The sequence below is a fragment of the Homo sapiens genome, chromosome 7, assembly GCF_000001405.40.
Source record: "Homo sapiens chromosome 7, GRCh38.p14 Primary Assembly".
Taxonomy (NCBI): domain Eukaryota; kingdom Metazoa; phylum Chordata; class Mammalia; order Primates; family Hominidae; genus Homo; species Homo sapiens.
Genome location: NC_000007.14, coordinates 66,826,977 through 66,841,535, shown reverse-complemented (window position 1 = coordinate 66,841,535; position 14,559 = coordinate 66,826,977). Strand labels below are relative to the sequence as shown.

The following is a 14,559-nucleotide window of genomic DNA, read 5'->3' as shown; positions in this document are numbered from 1 at the left end:
CCTCCCAAAAGGCTGGGATAACAGGGCTGAGCCACTGCGCCTGGCTGAGGTTCTCATTAAATGAAAATAAAGGCCAGGTGCAGTGGCTTATACCTGTAATCCCAGCCCTTTGGGAGTCTGAGGTGGGTGGATCACCTGAGTTCAGGAGTTTGAGACCAGCCTGACCAACATGGTGAAACACCGTCTCTACTAAAAATACAAAAAATTAGCTGGGCGTGGTGGCAGGCACCTGTAATCCCAGCTACTCGGGAGGCTGAGGCAGGAGAATCGCTTGAACCCAGGAGGCAGAGGTTGCAGTGAGCTGAGATTGTGCCACTGCACTACAGCCTGGGTGGGTGACAGAGCGAGACTCTGTCTCAAAATAAATACACGCCCACACGAGGCTGGGCTTGGTGGCTCATTCCTGTAATCCCAGCACTTTGGGAAGGTGAGGTGGGTGGATCTCTTGACCCCTGGAGTTTGAGACCAGCCTGGGCAACATAGTGAGACCCTTGTCTATACAAAACATAAAAAGTTAGCTGGGCATGGTGGCTGGTACCTGTGGTCCCAGCTACTCAGGAGGCTGAGGTGGGAGGATTGCTTGAGCCTGGGAGGTCAAGGCTGCAGTGAGCTATGATCGCACCACTGCACTCCAGCCTGGACAACAGATTAAGACCTTGTCTCAAAAATACAAACGTGGCCAGGCACGATGGCTCACGCCTGTAATCCCAACACTTTGGGAGGCTGAGGCACGCAGATCACCTGAGGTCAGGAGTTTGAAACCAACCTGGCCAACATGACGAAAGCCCGTCTCTACTAAAAATACAAAAATAATTAGCCGGGTATGGTGGCATATGCCTGCAGTCCCAGCCACTCAGGAGGTTGAGGCAGGAGAATCGCTTGAACCCCGGAGCAGAGGTTGCATTGAGCCAAGATTGTGCCACACACACACAAAAAAACATGAATGCATATATATATACACTTACATGCGTAAACACATACCAACACCAGGTTCGATGCCTGTCCCGAGTGCCCACCAGACCTTGCCCCCAGCAGTCAGCTTGGTTACCATCCACCAACACCCCCCAAGCATGTGTTCTGACCTCTTAGGGGCAGAGGTGGGCTGTTTATCCCAGAATCCCCACATCATATCAGGCCTCTCCCTGCAGCTCCCTGGGTGGGTGGGAATTAACCAAATCATCTGTCCCAGGGTTCCTGCCACCTTCATTCCCCAGCCCCCTCCCCAGATTCTTAACACTTTCCAGGCCCTGCAGGTCTCAGTCCCCCACAAGCAGTGATCAAACCCCTACTGTGCCAAGCCAGGAGCCCCAGAGCTCACAGATGGTGAGGAAGGGGGATCCCCAGATGGTTCACCCCAGGACAGTGAGCAGGTGCCTGGCTTGGCCACCCCTGGAGATTGTGGTCCCTGGAGATAAAGCACAGGGAATCTGTCTCCCTGGTGGAGGTGGGGAGCACCATCCTGGAGGGCCAGGGACTGATGGGGACAGGGATGCCTTCTGCTGTGGCGACCGCGGTGGGCCCCGACCGCCTGGAGGGGCAAGGCTGGGGCAGGGTGGCCCTGGACTTGGCTGACAGGTGTCATTTGCTGCTTCCCTTCACAGGTCAGACAAGGGCAGCATGTGTGAAGACTGCGGGCCAGGTGAGAAGGAACAGGGCCCGCTGTGTGTATCGTGGGCAGGGAGGGCAACCACCAGCCTTGGGGAGGAGCTCAACTCAGCCTATGAGAGTGGAGTGCTAATGAGCCTCCTCTGGGCAATAGAGTGAGACTCCATCTCAAATGAAAAAAAAAAAAGGGAAAGAAAAGGACCCTTGTCTGTGGGGAGACTGGGCTGGGTGGTCCCTGAGGGACTGTGACAGGAGTACAACAGGCAGAAGACACCCATGTCATTTGGAGTTTTGTCTTCAGACCCGTCACCAACCTCTGAGGAAATGACAGACTCAATGGCTGGGCACCTGCCATCGGAGGATTCTGATTGTGGGATGGAGATGCTGACAGGTAAGAAATGGAGCTGGGCTGGTGGTGCTTGGGACTCATCTCCCCAGGGAGCAAAGGGAAAGGGGTGGGCCAGACAGGCCTCAGGCTTTTCTTGGTGTTGACCGGCTCTAGTAGATGTAATCCAATATATGCCTGACCCCAATCCAAGGCTGGGTTCCTTTTGGAAACCTCAAGTAGGCAAGTAGGCTCTATTTATTTATTTAGAGACCTTGGGCATTTCACGTCATCTTTGTGTGTTTATATATAGATATAGATATAGATATATAGATATATAGATATGTACCCATATATATACACACACATATATATACCCATATATATACATACACATATATATACACACATATATATACACACATTATATATACACACATATATACACACATATATACACATATATACACACACATATATACATATATATACGTATATATATACACACACACATATATATACATATATATACATATATATACATATATACATATATATACATATATATACATATATATACGTATATATATATATACACATACACACACATATATATATACACACACACATTTTGAGACAGAGTTTCACTCTCGTTGCCCAGGTTGGAGTGCAGTGGTGCGATCTTGGCTCACCACAACCTGTGCCTCCCTGGTTCAAGCGATTCTCCTGCCTCAGTCTCCTAAGTAGCTGGGATTACTGGCACACGCCATCACGCCTGGCTAATTTTTTAGTTTTCGTATAGACGGGCTTTCGCCATGTTGTTCAGGCTGATCTCGACCTCCTGACCTCAGGTGATCCACCTGCCTCAGCCTCCCAAAGTGCTGGGATTGCAGGTGTGAGCCACCACACACGACTGTAGGCTCCATTTATAACAAGGCTCAGCATCCTTCCCAGGAGCCACCTATTGGGATTAATTTGTCCATTTATCCAACAACTATTTATTGAGCATCTATTGTGTACCTGGTCCCATATAAGGGGCTGGAGACAAAGCAGTGAACCTGAAGTCCCCACCTCCTGGAGTTCACATCCTCATGTGAAGAGATAGATGGATAGTAAGCAAATAAGTAAAATAGGCAAGTTAAGGTGGCTCATGCTTGTAATCCTAGCACTTTGGGAAACCAAGGCGAGGGGATTATTTGAGGCCGGGAGTTCAAGATCAGCCTGGGCAACATACAGAGACCCATCTCTTAAATTTTTTGACATGGATCCTCACTCTGTCGCCCAGGCTGGAGTGCAGTGGCGCAATCTCAGCTCACTGCAACCTCCACCTCCTGGGTTCAAGCAGTTCTCCTGCCTCAACCTCCTGAGTAGCTGGGATTACAGGTGCCCACCACCATGCCTGGCTAATTTTTTTGTATTTTTAGTAGACATGTGGTTTCACCATGATGACCAGGCAGGTCTCGAACTCCTGACCTCTAATGATCCTCCTGCCTCAGCCTCCCAAAGTGCTGGGATGACAAGTATGAGCCACCGTGCCTGGCCGAGGACTTTGTCTTGTTCCCATGTGTCCTCGGTGTCTACAACAGACTAGCTTGGGAGGTACATGCAAAATGATCTCAGCCTGCTTCTGTGTGAAGGCCAGGGTGGGCACCTGTATGGAATCTGGATCCCTGATCCCATTGGAGTGGGTGCCGTGCTTCAGAGTTGGGGTCCCCTGGCCCTCCATTCCCCAGCTATCTGGTCTGACGTCAGCAGTGCAAGGCTTAGGAGATGATGAACATGGCTTCCCGGCATCCTCTGTTCTCTTTTAGACAAAGGCCTGAGTGAGGACCCACGGCCTGAGGAGAGGCCCGTGGAGGGTGAGGCACTGTCTATCCCCCACGTTTTACGCCCACCGCCACCCCATGTCTCCTCCCCTGCCCTCCACCTACCCTTGGCCTCTGGGTCTCTTCCTTCTCTCCATCCCATCTCTCTCCAGCACCCTGGTTTGGGGGTGGGAGTCCTGTGGGCTGCCTGAGGTGGGAGGAGATTTAAGGACATGTCTTCTAGAACCAGGAGGTACCTGGTCAGAGCTGCAAGCGGTTCCCACTGCTAAGGGAAATTACAAGACTTTGTTTGCTGCTTTCCACAAAGGTTTTAAGACTGGGAACTGAGCCTCCTCTATCTGAACAAGTAGAATAGAGGCCTGAAAGCACAAAATTGGCTTTGTGTCCAGCAGACACACCCATTCTCAGGAACGTGAGAATTCCCTCCCTGCTGAGAGTGGAAGTAGGACAGAGAGAGAGGGAGGCCAGCGTGAGGGTGGGTCTGTTTCACCTCTGGAGTATCCTGGAATAGAATGAGTGAGTGTCAGAGGACAGAATTGTCACTTCCCAAACCCAGCCCGGCAGGAGGAACCATGAAGTCTTAACACAGTTCCACTGCCACCTGGTGGCGGTGTGCTCAATTTGCAGGCTTAGTGTGTACCCAGTAGTTCTCAGTCACATACTATACTCAGTCACATACCTAGAAAGATGCATGGTCACTCGTAGTCCACAGAACCTTCCAAATCTTCATTCAGGCTGGTGATGCCCTAGATTTGATTTCACTAACAGGAATGTGAGCACTGTCTGGCTCACAGGAATTGTGGACCTGTCTGCGTGTGCCATTTCTGAGGAAATAAGTTGCCCACTGCCACCACCCCAGCCCCAGCCTTCCCCCATTCCAAGATCCCACCACAAGGCCAATCTTGGTACCAGCAGAGCAGGAACATCAGCCGAGAAGCTGCCACCAAAGAGCCTCAACAGACTGCCTTTTGCCTTCCAGACAGTCAAGGTGACGTGATCCGGCCCCTGTGGAAGCAGGTGGAGCTGCTCTTCAACACAAGATACGGTGAGCAAGAAGTGGGACAGGGTTGGGGGCATCCCAGCCCCCTCCAGTGGCCCTGTTTGCAGAAGGGCTTTGGACCCATCCCCTTGCCAGCTCCCATCCCAGCTGCTCTCTGGGCAGGGACAAGGGAGGGAGGGAAGGGAGGAGCTGGGACCCTCCTTTAAAAAAAGAGAATAAGATAAGATAACCTTAGTGGTGTGCCAGGCATGAGGCTAGGTGCTTCCCCGTGTTTTTTTGTTTTGTTTTGTTTTGTTTTTTTTAGACAGAGTCTGACTCTGTGGCCCAGACTGGAGTGCAGTAGCACAATGTCGGCTCACTGCAACCTCCGCCTCCCAGGTTCCAGTGATTCTCCTGCCTCACCCTCCCGAGTAGCTGGGATTGCAGGCGCTTGCCACCACACCCGGCTAATTTTTGTATGTTTAATAGAGACAGGGCTTCACCATGTCGGCCAGGCTGGTCTTGAACTCCTGACCTTAAGCGATCCTCCCACCTCTGCCTCCCAAAGTGCAGGGATGACAGGCATGAGCCACCGTGCCCAGCCCCCTGTATTCTTCTATCCCACCTCACAAAATCCCCATGTCCTAAGACCCACTTTACAGGTGAGGAGCACTGAGGCCTCGTAAAGGAGTGTGACTCATCCAAGGCCCCACCCCACTCAGTGGCAGAGATCAGGCTCATTCCAAGGTGTGGGTGTTGGTGTTGTAGAGATGAGGTCTTGCTATATTGCCCAGGCTGGTCTTGAACTCCTGAGCTCAAGTGGTCCTCCTGCCTCAGCCTCCCAAAGTGCTGGGATTACAGGCATGAGCCACCACTGCTCCCAGCCTAAAAAGGTTTTTAAGGCTCATGACACACTGTACTGAGTTGCTCTCTGGAAATGTTACAATTTTTGCTTCTCAGGGAGGTACATCTTTCTGTACGCTCATAGGCATAAAATGCAAAAATGCAATCCTAAATTTTTATCTTGGCCATGTGTGGTGGCTCACATCTATAATCCCAGCACTTTGGGAGGCCAAGGTGGGAGTATTGTTTGAGCTCAGGAGTTTGAGACCAGCCTGGGCAACATAGTGAGACCTGATTTCCAAAAATAACCCCAAAACTAAATTTTTCATTTTTGACAACTTGACAAATTTCAAGTGACATTTATTACTAATGAAGATGAATATTTGTCATCCCTTGTTGGCCCTTTGTATGTCTAAATGGTGAATTGTTCATTCATGTCCTTGGTGCATTATTTAATGTTTTAAATGTTTCTTCTTCTTTTTTTTCTTGAGATGGAGTCTCACTCTGTCGCCCAGGCTGTAGTGCAGTGGCACGATCTCGGCTCACCGCAAGCTCTGCCTCCTGGGTTCACGCCATTCTCTTGCCTCAGTTTCCTGAGTAGCTGGGACTACAGGTGCCTGCCACCACGCCTGGCTAATTTTATGTATTTTTAGTAGAGACAGGGTTTCACCGTGTTAGCCAGGATGGTCTTGATATCCTGCCCTCATGATCCGCCCACCTCGGCCTCCCGAAGTGCTGGGATTACAGGCATGAGCCTCCGCGCCTGGCCTAAATGTTTTTTTCTTTACTTATTTGAAGAAGTTCTTTATATGTGAAGCTCATTAACCTTTTATCTGCCACATGGAGTTTGTCATTTGTCTTCTTGTTTTTGATTTAAAAAAACTATTCATTCCTAGATGGGCATTACCCTTATTAAACAACTAATATAATGTGTGATATCCAATGATACATTTAAAACAAGACAACCAATATCTTGATGTACATAAAGATAAACTTCAGAAGACAAACATTAAATGTTTCAACACACATTTGAATGAACTTTACTTACAAATTGTTTAGTTGGAAAAGAAATTTGTGTTCAAAAAATGTTTTCACTGGTGGAAAAATAAATCTAACAAAACCAGCATGTGAAAACACTGATTTACAAAGCCAAAATATATCTTAGTTCCATTTCCTGTATGCCCTCAATGTGATTGTCTCTATTTTTTTTTTTTAACAGAGACAGAGGTCTCACTGTGTTGTCCAGGTTGGTCTTGAACTCGTGGCCTCAAGTGATCCTCCTGCCTCGGCCTCCCAAAAGGCTGGGATAACAGGACTGAGCCACTGCGCCTGGCTGAGGTTCTCATTAAATGAAAATAAAGGCCAGGCACGGTGGCTTATACCTGTAATGCCAGCCCTTTGGGAGTTTGAGGTGGGTGGATCACCTGAGTTCAGGAGTTTGAGACCAGCCTGACCAACATGGTGAAACCCCATCTCTACTAAAAATATAAAAAATTAGCTGGGCATGGTGGCAGGCACCTGTAATCCCAGCTTCTCAGGTGGCTGAGGCAGGAGAATCGCTTGAACCCAAGAGGCAGAGGTTGCAGTGAGCTGAGATTGTGCCACTGCACTCCAGCCTGGGTGGGTGACAGAGCGAGACTCTGTCTCAAAATAAATACATGCCCACACCAGGCTGGGCTTGGTGGCTCATTCCTGTAATCCCAGCACTTTGGGAGGCCAAGGTGGGTGGATCTCTTGACCCCTGGAGTTTGAGACCAGCCTAGGCAACACAGTGAGACCCTTGTCTCTACAAAACATAAAAAGTTAGCTGGGCGTGGTGGCTGCTACCTGTGATCCCAGCTACTTGGGAGGCTGAGGTGGGAGGATTGCTTGAGCCTGGGAGGTCAAGGCTGCAGTGAGCTGTGATCGCACTACTGCACTCCAGCCTGGACAACAGAGTAAGACCTTGTCTCAAAAATACAAACATGTGGCCGGGCACGATGGCTCACGCCTGTAATCCCAGCACTTTGGGAGGCTGAGGCACGCAGATCACCTGAGGTCAGGAATTCGAAACCAACCTGGCCAACATGACGAAACCCCGTCTCTACTAAAAATACAAAAATAATTAGCTGGGTATGATGGCGCATGCCTGTAGTCCCAGCCACTCAGGAGGTTGAGGCAGGAGAATCGCTTGATCCCCAGAATCGGAGGTTGCAGTGAGCCAAGATCGTGCCACTGCACTCCTGCCTGGGCAACAGAGCAAGATTCTGTCCCCAAAAAAAAAAAATACATGGATGCATATATACATATACATATATACATACATGCATACATACATACCAACACCAGGTTCGATGCCTGACCTGAGTGCCCACCAGACCCCGCCCCCAGCAGTCAGCTTGGCTACCATCCACCAACACCCCCCAAGCACATTGTGACCTCTTAAGGCAGAGGTGGGCTGTTCATCCCAGAATCCCCACATCATATCAGGCCTCTCCCTGCAGTTCTCTGGGAGGGAGGGAATTAACCAAATCATCTGTCTCAGGGTTCCTGCCACCTTCATTCCCCAGCCCCCTCCCCAGATTCTTAACACTTTCCAGGCCCTGCAGGTCTCAGTCCCCCATAAGCAGTGATCACACCCCTACTGTGCCAAGCCAGGAGCCCCAGAGCTCACAGATGGTGAGGAAGGGGGATCCCCAGATGCTCACCCCAGGACAGTGAGCAGATGCCTGGCTTGGCCACCCCTGGAGATTGTGGTCCCTGGAGACAGGGCACGGGGAATCTCTCTCCCTGGTGGAGGTGGGGAGCACCATCCTGGAGGGCCAGGGGGTGATGAGGGCAGGGATGCCTTCTGCAGTGGCAACCGCGGGGGGCCCCGACGGCCTGGAGGGGCAAGGCTGGGGCAGGGTGGCCCTGGACTTGGCTGACAGGTGTCATTTCCTGCTTCCCTTCATAGGTCAGACAAGGGCGGCATGTCTGAAGACTGTGGGCCAGGTGAGAAGGACCAGGGCCCACTGTGTGTGTCATGGGCCGGGAGGGCAATCACCAGCCCTACCCGCAGCTTTGAGGAGGAGCTCAACTCAGCCCATGAGCCTGGAGTGCTAATGAGCCTCCTCTGCCCACCTGCATCTCCCAGGCCTTGCAGCGCCGAGGTGCAAGGCATACTGGGAGCTTACTGGGGTGGGGACATGGAGAGCTAGGTGCTGGCATCACCACTGCCTCCTGTCAATGCCCAGACCCAGGCTGCAGGCTCTTGAACCAGCAGCCTCCCCTCTGGGGGGCCTCAGTTACCGGGTCTGTAAATTGGAGCCCCTAAGCCTGGCCTGAGGGCCCCCTGACCTCCAGTTCCGGTCTGGGCAGAAGCCAGGGGAGTGACATGACTTGTCCTAGGTAGGTCCTCACTAACAAGTTACAGACACCAGAATGTTCTGGAAAGACTCACTCTGCCTGGTCAGGCTCTTGCCAGACTTGACCAGATCCTTCTTTTCCTCCTTGCAGGAACCTCCGGGGAGCTGGGTTGGCTGAAGCCAATCAAAATTGAGCCAGAGGATCTGGACATCATTGCGGTCACTGTCCCAAGTAAGCGACGGACATCTGACCACCCCCTGCAGAAATGAGGACCGTAACATAAGCCTCCTGAGGGTCTGCCCTGGTGAAGAAGAGGCCTCCAGGCCACTGTTTCTCTCCATGGATTCTGAGGCCCACCTGGGTATTGTGAATTCTTTCTCTGGCCACATCTGCCCCCTGCATTGTGAACCAGTGTTCTTAGCTCTGACGTTCCAGAAGATCCCCTCAAACATCACCTCCCTGGCTTGGCTTCCCTGGGATTTGTGAGGCTGGAGAGAAGAAAAAGGCATAAGCCTGAGAGGCTCCAAGTTGGACCCTACCCCCTGCCAAGCCTCATTTTCCACATCTTCAGAGGAGAGGGTAGATTTGGGCACTGGAGCCTCAGTATGGGGTGACTGTCAGAAGCCAAGAGGGTGCCGGACGCAGTGGCTCATACTTGTAATCCCGGCATTTTGGGTGGCTGACATGGGAGGATTGCTTGAGGCCAGGAGTTCAAGACCAGACTGGGCAACATAAAAAGACCCCCCATCTCTACAAAAAATACAAAACATTAGCCAAATGTGGTGGTGTGTGACTGTCAGTGCAGCTTCTCAGGAGGCTGAGGCAGGAGAATCACTTGAGCCCAAGAGTTGGAGGCTGCAGTGAGCTGTGATCACACCACTGCACTGCAGCCTGGGCAACCAGAGGAAGACCCTGTCTCAAAAAAAAGAAATGGCCAGGTGCAGTGGCTCACGCCTATAATCCCAGCACTTTCGGAGGCTGAGGCGGGCGGATCACCTGAGGTCAAGAGTTCGAGACCAGCCTGGCCAACATGGTGAAACCCCATCTCTACTAAAAATACAAAAATTAGCCAGGTATGATGGCTCATGCCTGTAATCCCAGCTACTCAGGAGGCTGAGGCAGGAGAATCGCTTGAACCTGGGAGGCGGAGGTTACAGTGAACCGAGGTGGCACCACTGCACTCCAGCCTGGGCGACAGAGTGAGACTCCATCTCGAACAAAAATAAAAAAAGAGAAAGAAAAGGACCCTTGTCTCTGGGGAGACTGGGCTGGGTGGTCCCTGAGGGACTGTGACAGGAGTATGACAGGCAGAAGACACCCATGTCATTTGGAGTTTTGTCTTCAGACCCCTCGCCAACCTCTGAGGAAATGACAGACTCGATGCCTGGGCACCTGCCATCTGAGGATTCTGATTGTGGGATGGAGATGCTGACACGTAAGAAATGGAGCTGGGCTGGTGGTTCTTGGGACCCGTCTCCCCAGGGAGCAAAGGGAAAGGGGTGGGCCAGGCAGGCCTCAGGCTTTTCTTGGTGTTGACCGCCTCTAGTAGAGGAAACCCAATATATGCCTGACCCCAGTCCAAGGCTGGGTTCCTTTTGGAAACCTCAAGTAGGCTCTATTTATTTATTTAGAGACCTTGGGCATTTCATTTCGTCTTTGTGTGTTTCCCTATTTTTTTTTTGTTTGAGATGGAGTTTCACTCTTGCTGCCCAGGCTGGAGTGCAGGGGCACGATCTCGGCTTACCGCACCTTCTGCCTCCTGTGTTCAAGCGATTCTCCTGCCTCAGCCTCCTGAGTAGCTGGGATTACAGGCACATGCCACCACGCATGGCTAATTTTGTATTTTTAGTAGAGAGGGGCTTTCGCCATGTCAGTCAGGCTGGTCTCGACCTCCTGACCTCAGGTGATCCACCTGCCTCAGCCTCCCAAAGTGCTGGGATTGCAGGCCCGAGCCACTACGCCCGACCATAGGCTCCATTTATAACAAGGCCCAGCATCCTTCCCAGGAGCCACCTATTGGGATTAATTTGTCCATTTATCCAACAACTATTTATTGAGCGTCTATTGTGTACCTGGTCCCATGTAAGGGGCTGGAGACGAAGCAGTGAAGCAAGCAGAAGTCCCCATCTCCTGGAGTTCACATCCTCATGTGAAAAGATAGATGGATCGTAAGCAAATAAGTAAAATAGGCAGGCTAAGGTGGCTCATGCTTGTAATCCCAACACTTTGGGAAGCCAAGGCGAGGGGATTATTTGAGGCAGGGAGTTCAAGATCAGCCTGGGGAACATACAGAGACCCATCTCTTAAATTTTTTGACATGGATCCTCACTCTGTCGCCCAGGCTGGAGTGCAGTGGCGCAATCTCAGCTCACTGCAACCTCCGCCTCCTGGGTTCCACCAGTTCTCCTACCTCAATCTCCTGAGTAGCTAGGATTACAGGTGCCCGCCACCACAGCTGGCTGATTTTTTTGTATTTTTAGTAGACATGGGGTTTCACCATGATGACCAGACAGGTCTCAAACTCCTGACCTCAAATAATCCTCCTGCCTCAGCCTCCCAAAGTGCTGGGATTACAGGCGTGAGCCACCATGCCCTGCCTCAACAAATATTTATTGAGCACCTACTGTGTACTAGGTCCTGTGTAAGGGGCTGGGGAAAAAGCAGTAGACCAAACAGATGTCCCCACCTCCTGGGGTACACATCCTCGTGTGGAGAGATAAGCAGTAAGCAAATAAGTAAAATAGGCAGGGCAAGGTGGCTCATGCCTGTAATTCCAACACTTTGGGAGGCCAAGGCGAGGGGACTGCTTGAGGCCAGGAGTTCAAGACCAGTCAGCAACATAGCAAGTCCCTATCTCTACTGAAGAATTTTTTTTAATTGGCTGATGCAGTGGCTCGCACCTATAATCTCAACACTTTGGGAGGCCAAAGCAGGAGGATCACTTCAGCCCAGGAGCTTGAGGCTAGCCTGGGCAACATGGTGAAACCCTATCTCCACAAAAAGTACAAAAATTAGTTGGGCGTGATGGTCCGTATCTGTAGTCCCAGCTACTTGGGAGGCTGAGGTGGGAGGATTGATTGAGCCCAGGAGGTTAAGGCTGTGGTGAGCTGTGATGGTGCCACTGAGCAAGACCCTGTCTTAAAATAAATAAGTAGGTCAGGCGCATTGGCTCACACCTGTAATTCACCACTTTGGAAGGCTGAGGCGGGCAGATCGCTTGAGGTCAGGAGTTGAAAAACAGCCTGGCCAGCATGGTGAAACCCCGTCTCTATTAAAAATACAAAAATTAGCTGGGCGTGGTGGCACATGCCTGTAATCCCAGCTACTCAGGAGGCTGAGGCAGGAGAATCACTTGAACCCAGGAGGCAGAGGTTGCAGTGAGCCAAGATTTTGCCATTGCACTACAGCCTGGACGACAGAGTGAAACTCTGCCTCAAAATTAACAGATAGAGAGATAGATACTAGATACATAGATAGATAAAAATTAGACAGGCACGGTGGGACCTATGTTTAGTCCCATCTACTCAGGAGGCTGAGGCAGGAGGATCCATTGAGCCCAGGAGTTGGAGCCTGCAGTCAGCTATGATGGTGCCACTGCACTCCAGTCTGGGAGCCACAGCAAGACACCATCTCAAAAAAACAAAAATAGGCTGGGCATGAAGACTGAAGACTGCGTAATCCCAGCACTTTGGGAGGCCGAAGCGGGCAGATCACCTGAGTCCAGGAGTTCAAGATCAGCCTGGCCAACCTATTGAAACCCCATCTCTGCTAAAAAGACCAAAAACATTAGCTAGGCATGGTGGCAGGCACCTGCAGTCCCAGCTACTTGGGACACTGAGGCAGGAAAACCTCTTGAACCTTGGGAGGCGGAGTTTGCAGCCAAGATCGCGCCACTGCACTCCAGCCAGGTCAACAGAGTGAAACTCTATCTCAAAAACAAAGAAAGAAACAAACAAAAATAGGCAACAAGGAAGGATGCTTAGGATGTAACATTAAGAAAAAGAAGAAAAATTGATTGTGCTTTTCTTACAACTGTGTTGCAAACATAATCACTGGGGAAGAACAACGGTATAGCAAAACAGTAGCAGTGTTAGGCAAAATGATTTGTGTTTTTTATTTTCTAAATCAGTTATGATGCACTTCTAATACTTTGGTAATGAAGAAAAAAATATGCTTTGTCCAGCACACACTGGGCATGACTAGACTTGACAGCAGTCTGTGGTGTAGCTATCCAGAGAGTTTGGTTGACGCCAAGCTCAGGCTGAGATGACAGCATGGCATGGCGGCTAAGGAATTGACGTGGCACACGGATGGGTTTCGCTGCGGCGTTAGAAAACACCGTGGAAGCCAGGCGCGGTGGCTCACACCTGTAATCCCAGCACTTTGGGAGGACGAGGTGGGCGGATCATGAGGTCAGGAGATCGAGACCATCCTGGCTAACCCGGTGAAACCCCATCTCTACTAAAAATACAAAAACTTAGCCAGCCGTGGAGGCGAGCACCTGTAGTCCCAGGTACTTGGGAGGCTGAGGCAGGAGAATGGTGTGAACCCGGGAGGTGGAGCTTGCAGTTAGCCGAGATCGCGCCACTGCACCTCAGCCTGGGCAACAGAGCGAGACTCCGTCTCAAAAAAAAAAAAAAGAAAGAAAAAGAAAACACCGTGAAAGCCTCCATGCAGCACTCAACAGCCAGAGGCTGGGTGGCACTGCAGGGGCTGGGGGTCTTGGATGAGCATAGCACCACTGCTGTTTGTTTCACAGAGCAGAACACAGGCTTAGCCAGGTTCAGACTCAGCCACCTCCCCAAGGTCATACAGCCTTGGGCTGGAACACATGTTTCCCATGCAGAGCTCCTTCCCAGACACCCCAGTCAAACCTGATGAATTAAGAAAATTCTGGCTGGGCTTGGTAGCTCATGCCTATAATCCCAGCACTTTGCGAGGCTGACGTAGGTGGATTACCTGAGGTTAGGAGTTCGAGACCAGCCTTGCCAACATGGCAAAACCCCCATCTCTACTAAAAATACAAAATTAACCAGGCATGGTGGTGCGCACCTGTAATCCCAGCTGTTTAGGAGGCTGAGGCAGGAGAATCATTTGAACACAGGAGGCGGAGGTTGCAGTGAGCCAAGATCGCACCATTGCACTCCAGCCCGGGTGACAAGAGCGAAACTCCATCTAGAAAAAAGAAAAAGAAAATTCTGTTGGTGGTGCACGCCTGTAATCCCAGGTAATCGAGAGGCTGAGGCTGGAGAATCGCTTGAACCCAGGAGGCAGAGGGAGCAGTGAGCTCAGACTGCACCACTGCACTCCAGCCTGGGTGATAGAGTGAGACTCTGTTTCAAAAAGAACAAAACAACAAAAAAGAAAATTCTGAGATGTCCAGGACCACCGTGGATTAAAGGATTTTGCATGTGTATGCTTTTTCTGTTTACACATGTATGATATGAAACAGTTAAATGATATAGAACTGTGTAACACATTGAGCAGGTGCAGTGGCTCATGTCTGTAATCCTAGCACTTTGGGAGGCCAACATGGGACGATCTCTTGAGCCTAGGAGTTCGAGACCAGCTTGGGCAACATGGCAAAACCCTTTCTCTACAAAAAATTTTAAAAAGTAGCCAACCGTGGTGGTGCATGCCTCTAGTTCCAGCTA

At 50.7% G+C, this 14,559-nt stretch overlaps 1 pseudogene across 1 annotated transcript in view, besides 1 other annotated feature; it reads left to right on the top strand.

Moving 5' to 3' along the window:
- GTF2IRD1P1 (GTF2I repeat domain containing 1 pseudogene 1) overlaps window positions 1-14,559 on the top strand; it is a 34,894-nt pseudogene that overhangs the window by 3,351 nt on the left and 16,984 nt on the right. Inside the window, exons 2-7 of the transcript NR_003934.2 lie at window positions 1,602-1,639; window positions 1,907-1,996; window positions 4,736-4,801; window positions 8,514-8,551; window positions 9,056-9,266; window positions 10,251-10,340. The product of NR_003934.2 is annotated as a GTF2I repeat domain containing 1 pseudogene 1 (transcript). The remainder of the gene's footprint in view (window positions 1-1,601; window positions 1,640-1,906; window positions 1,997-4,735; window positions 4,802-8,513; window positions 8,552-9,055; window positions 9,267-10,250; window positions 10,341-14,559) is intronic.
- Window positions 8,014-8,575: an enhancer, noted in NCBI's record as "H3K4me1 hESC enhancer chr7:66297948-66298509 (GRCh37/hg19 assembly coordinates)". NCBI's record gives its function as "activates a minimal SCP1, AML or CMV promoter by ChIP-STARR-seq in naive H9 embryonic stem cells {active_cell/tissue: H9 hESC(naive)}" and the evidence as "EXISTENCE:reporter gene assay evidence [ECO:0000049][PMID:30033119]".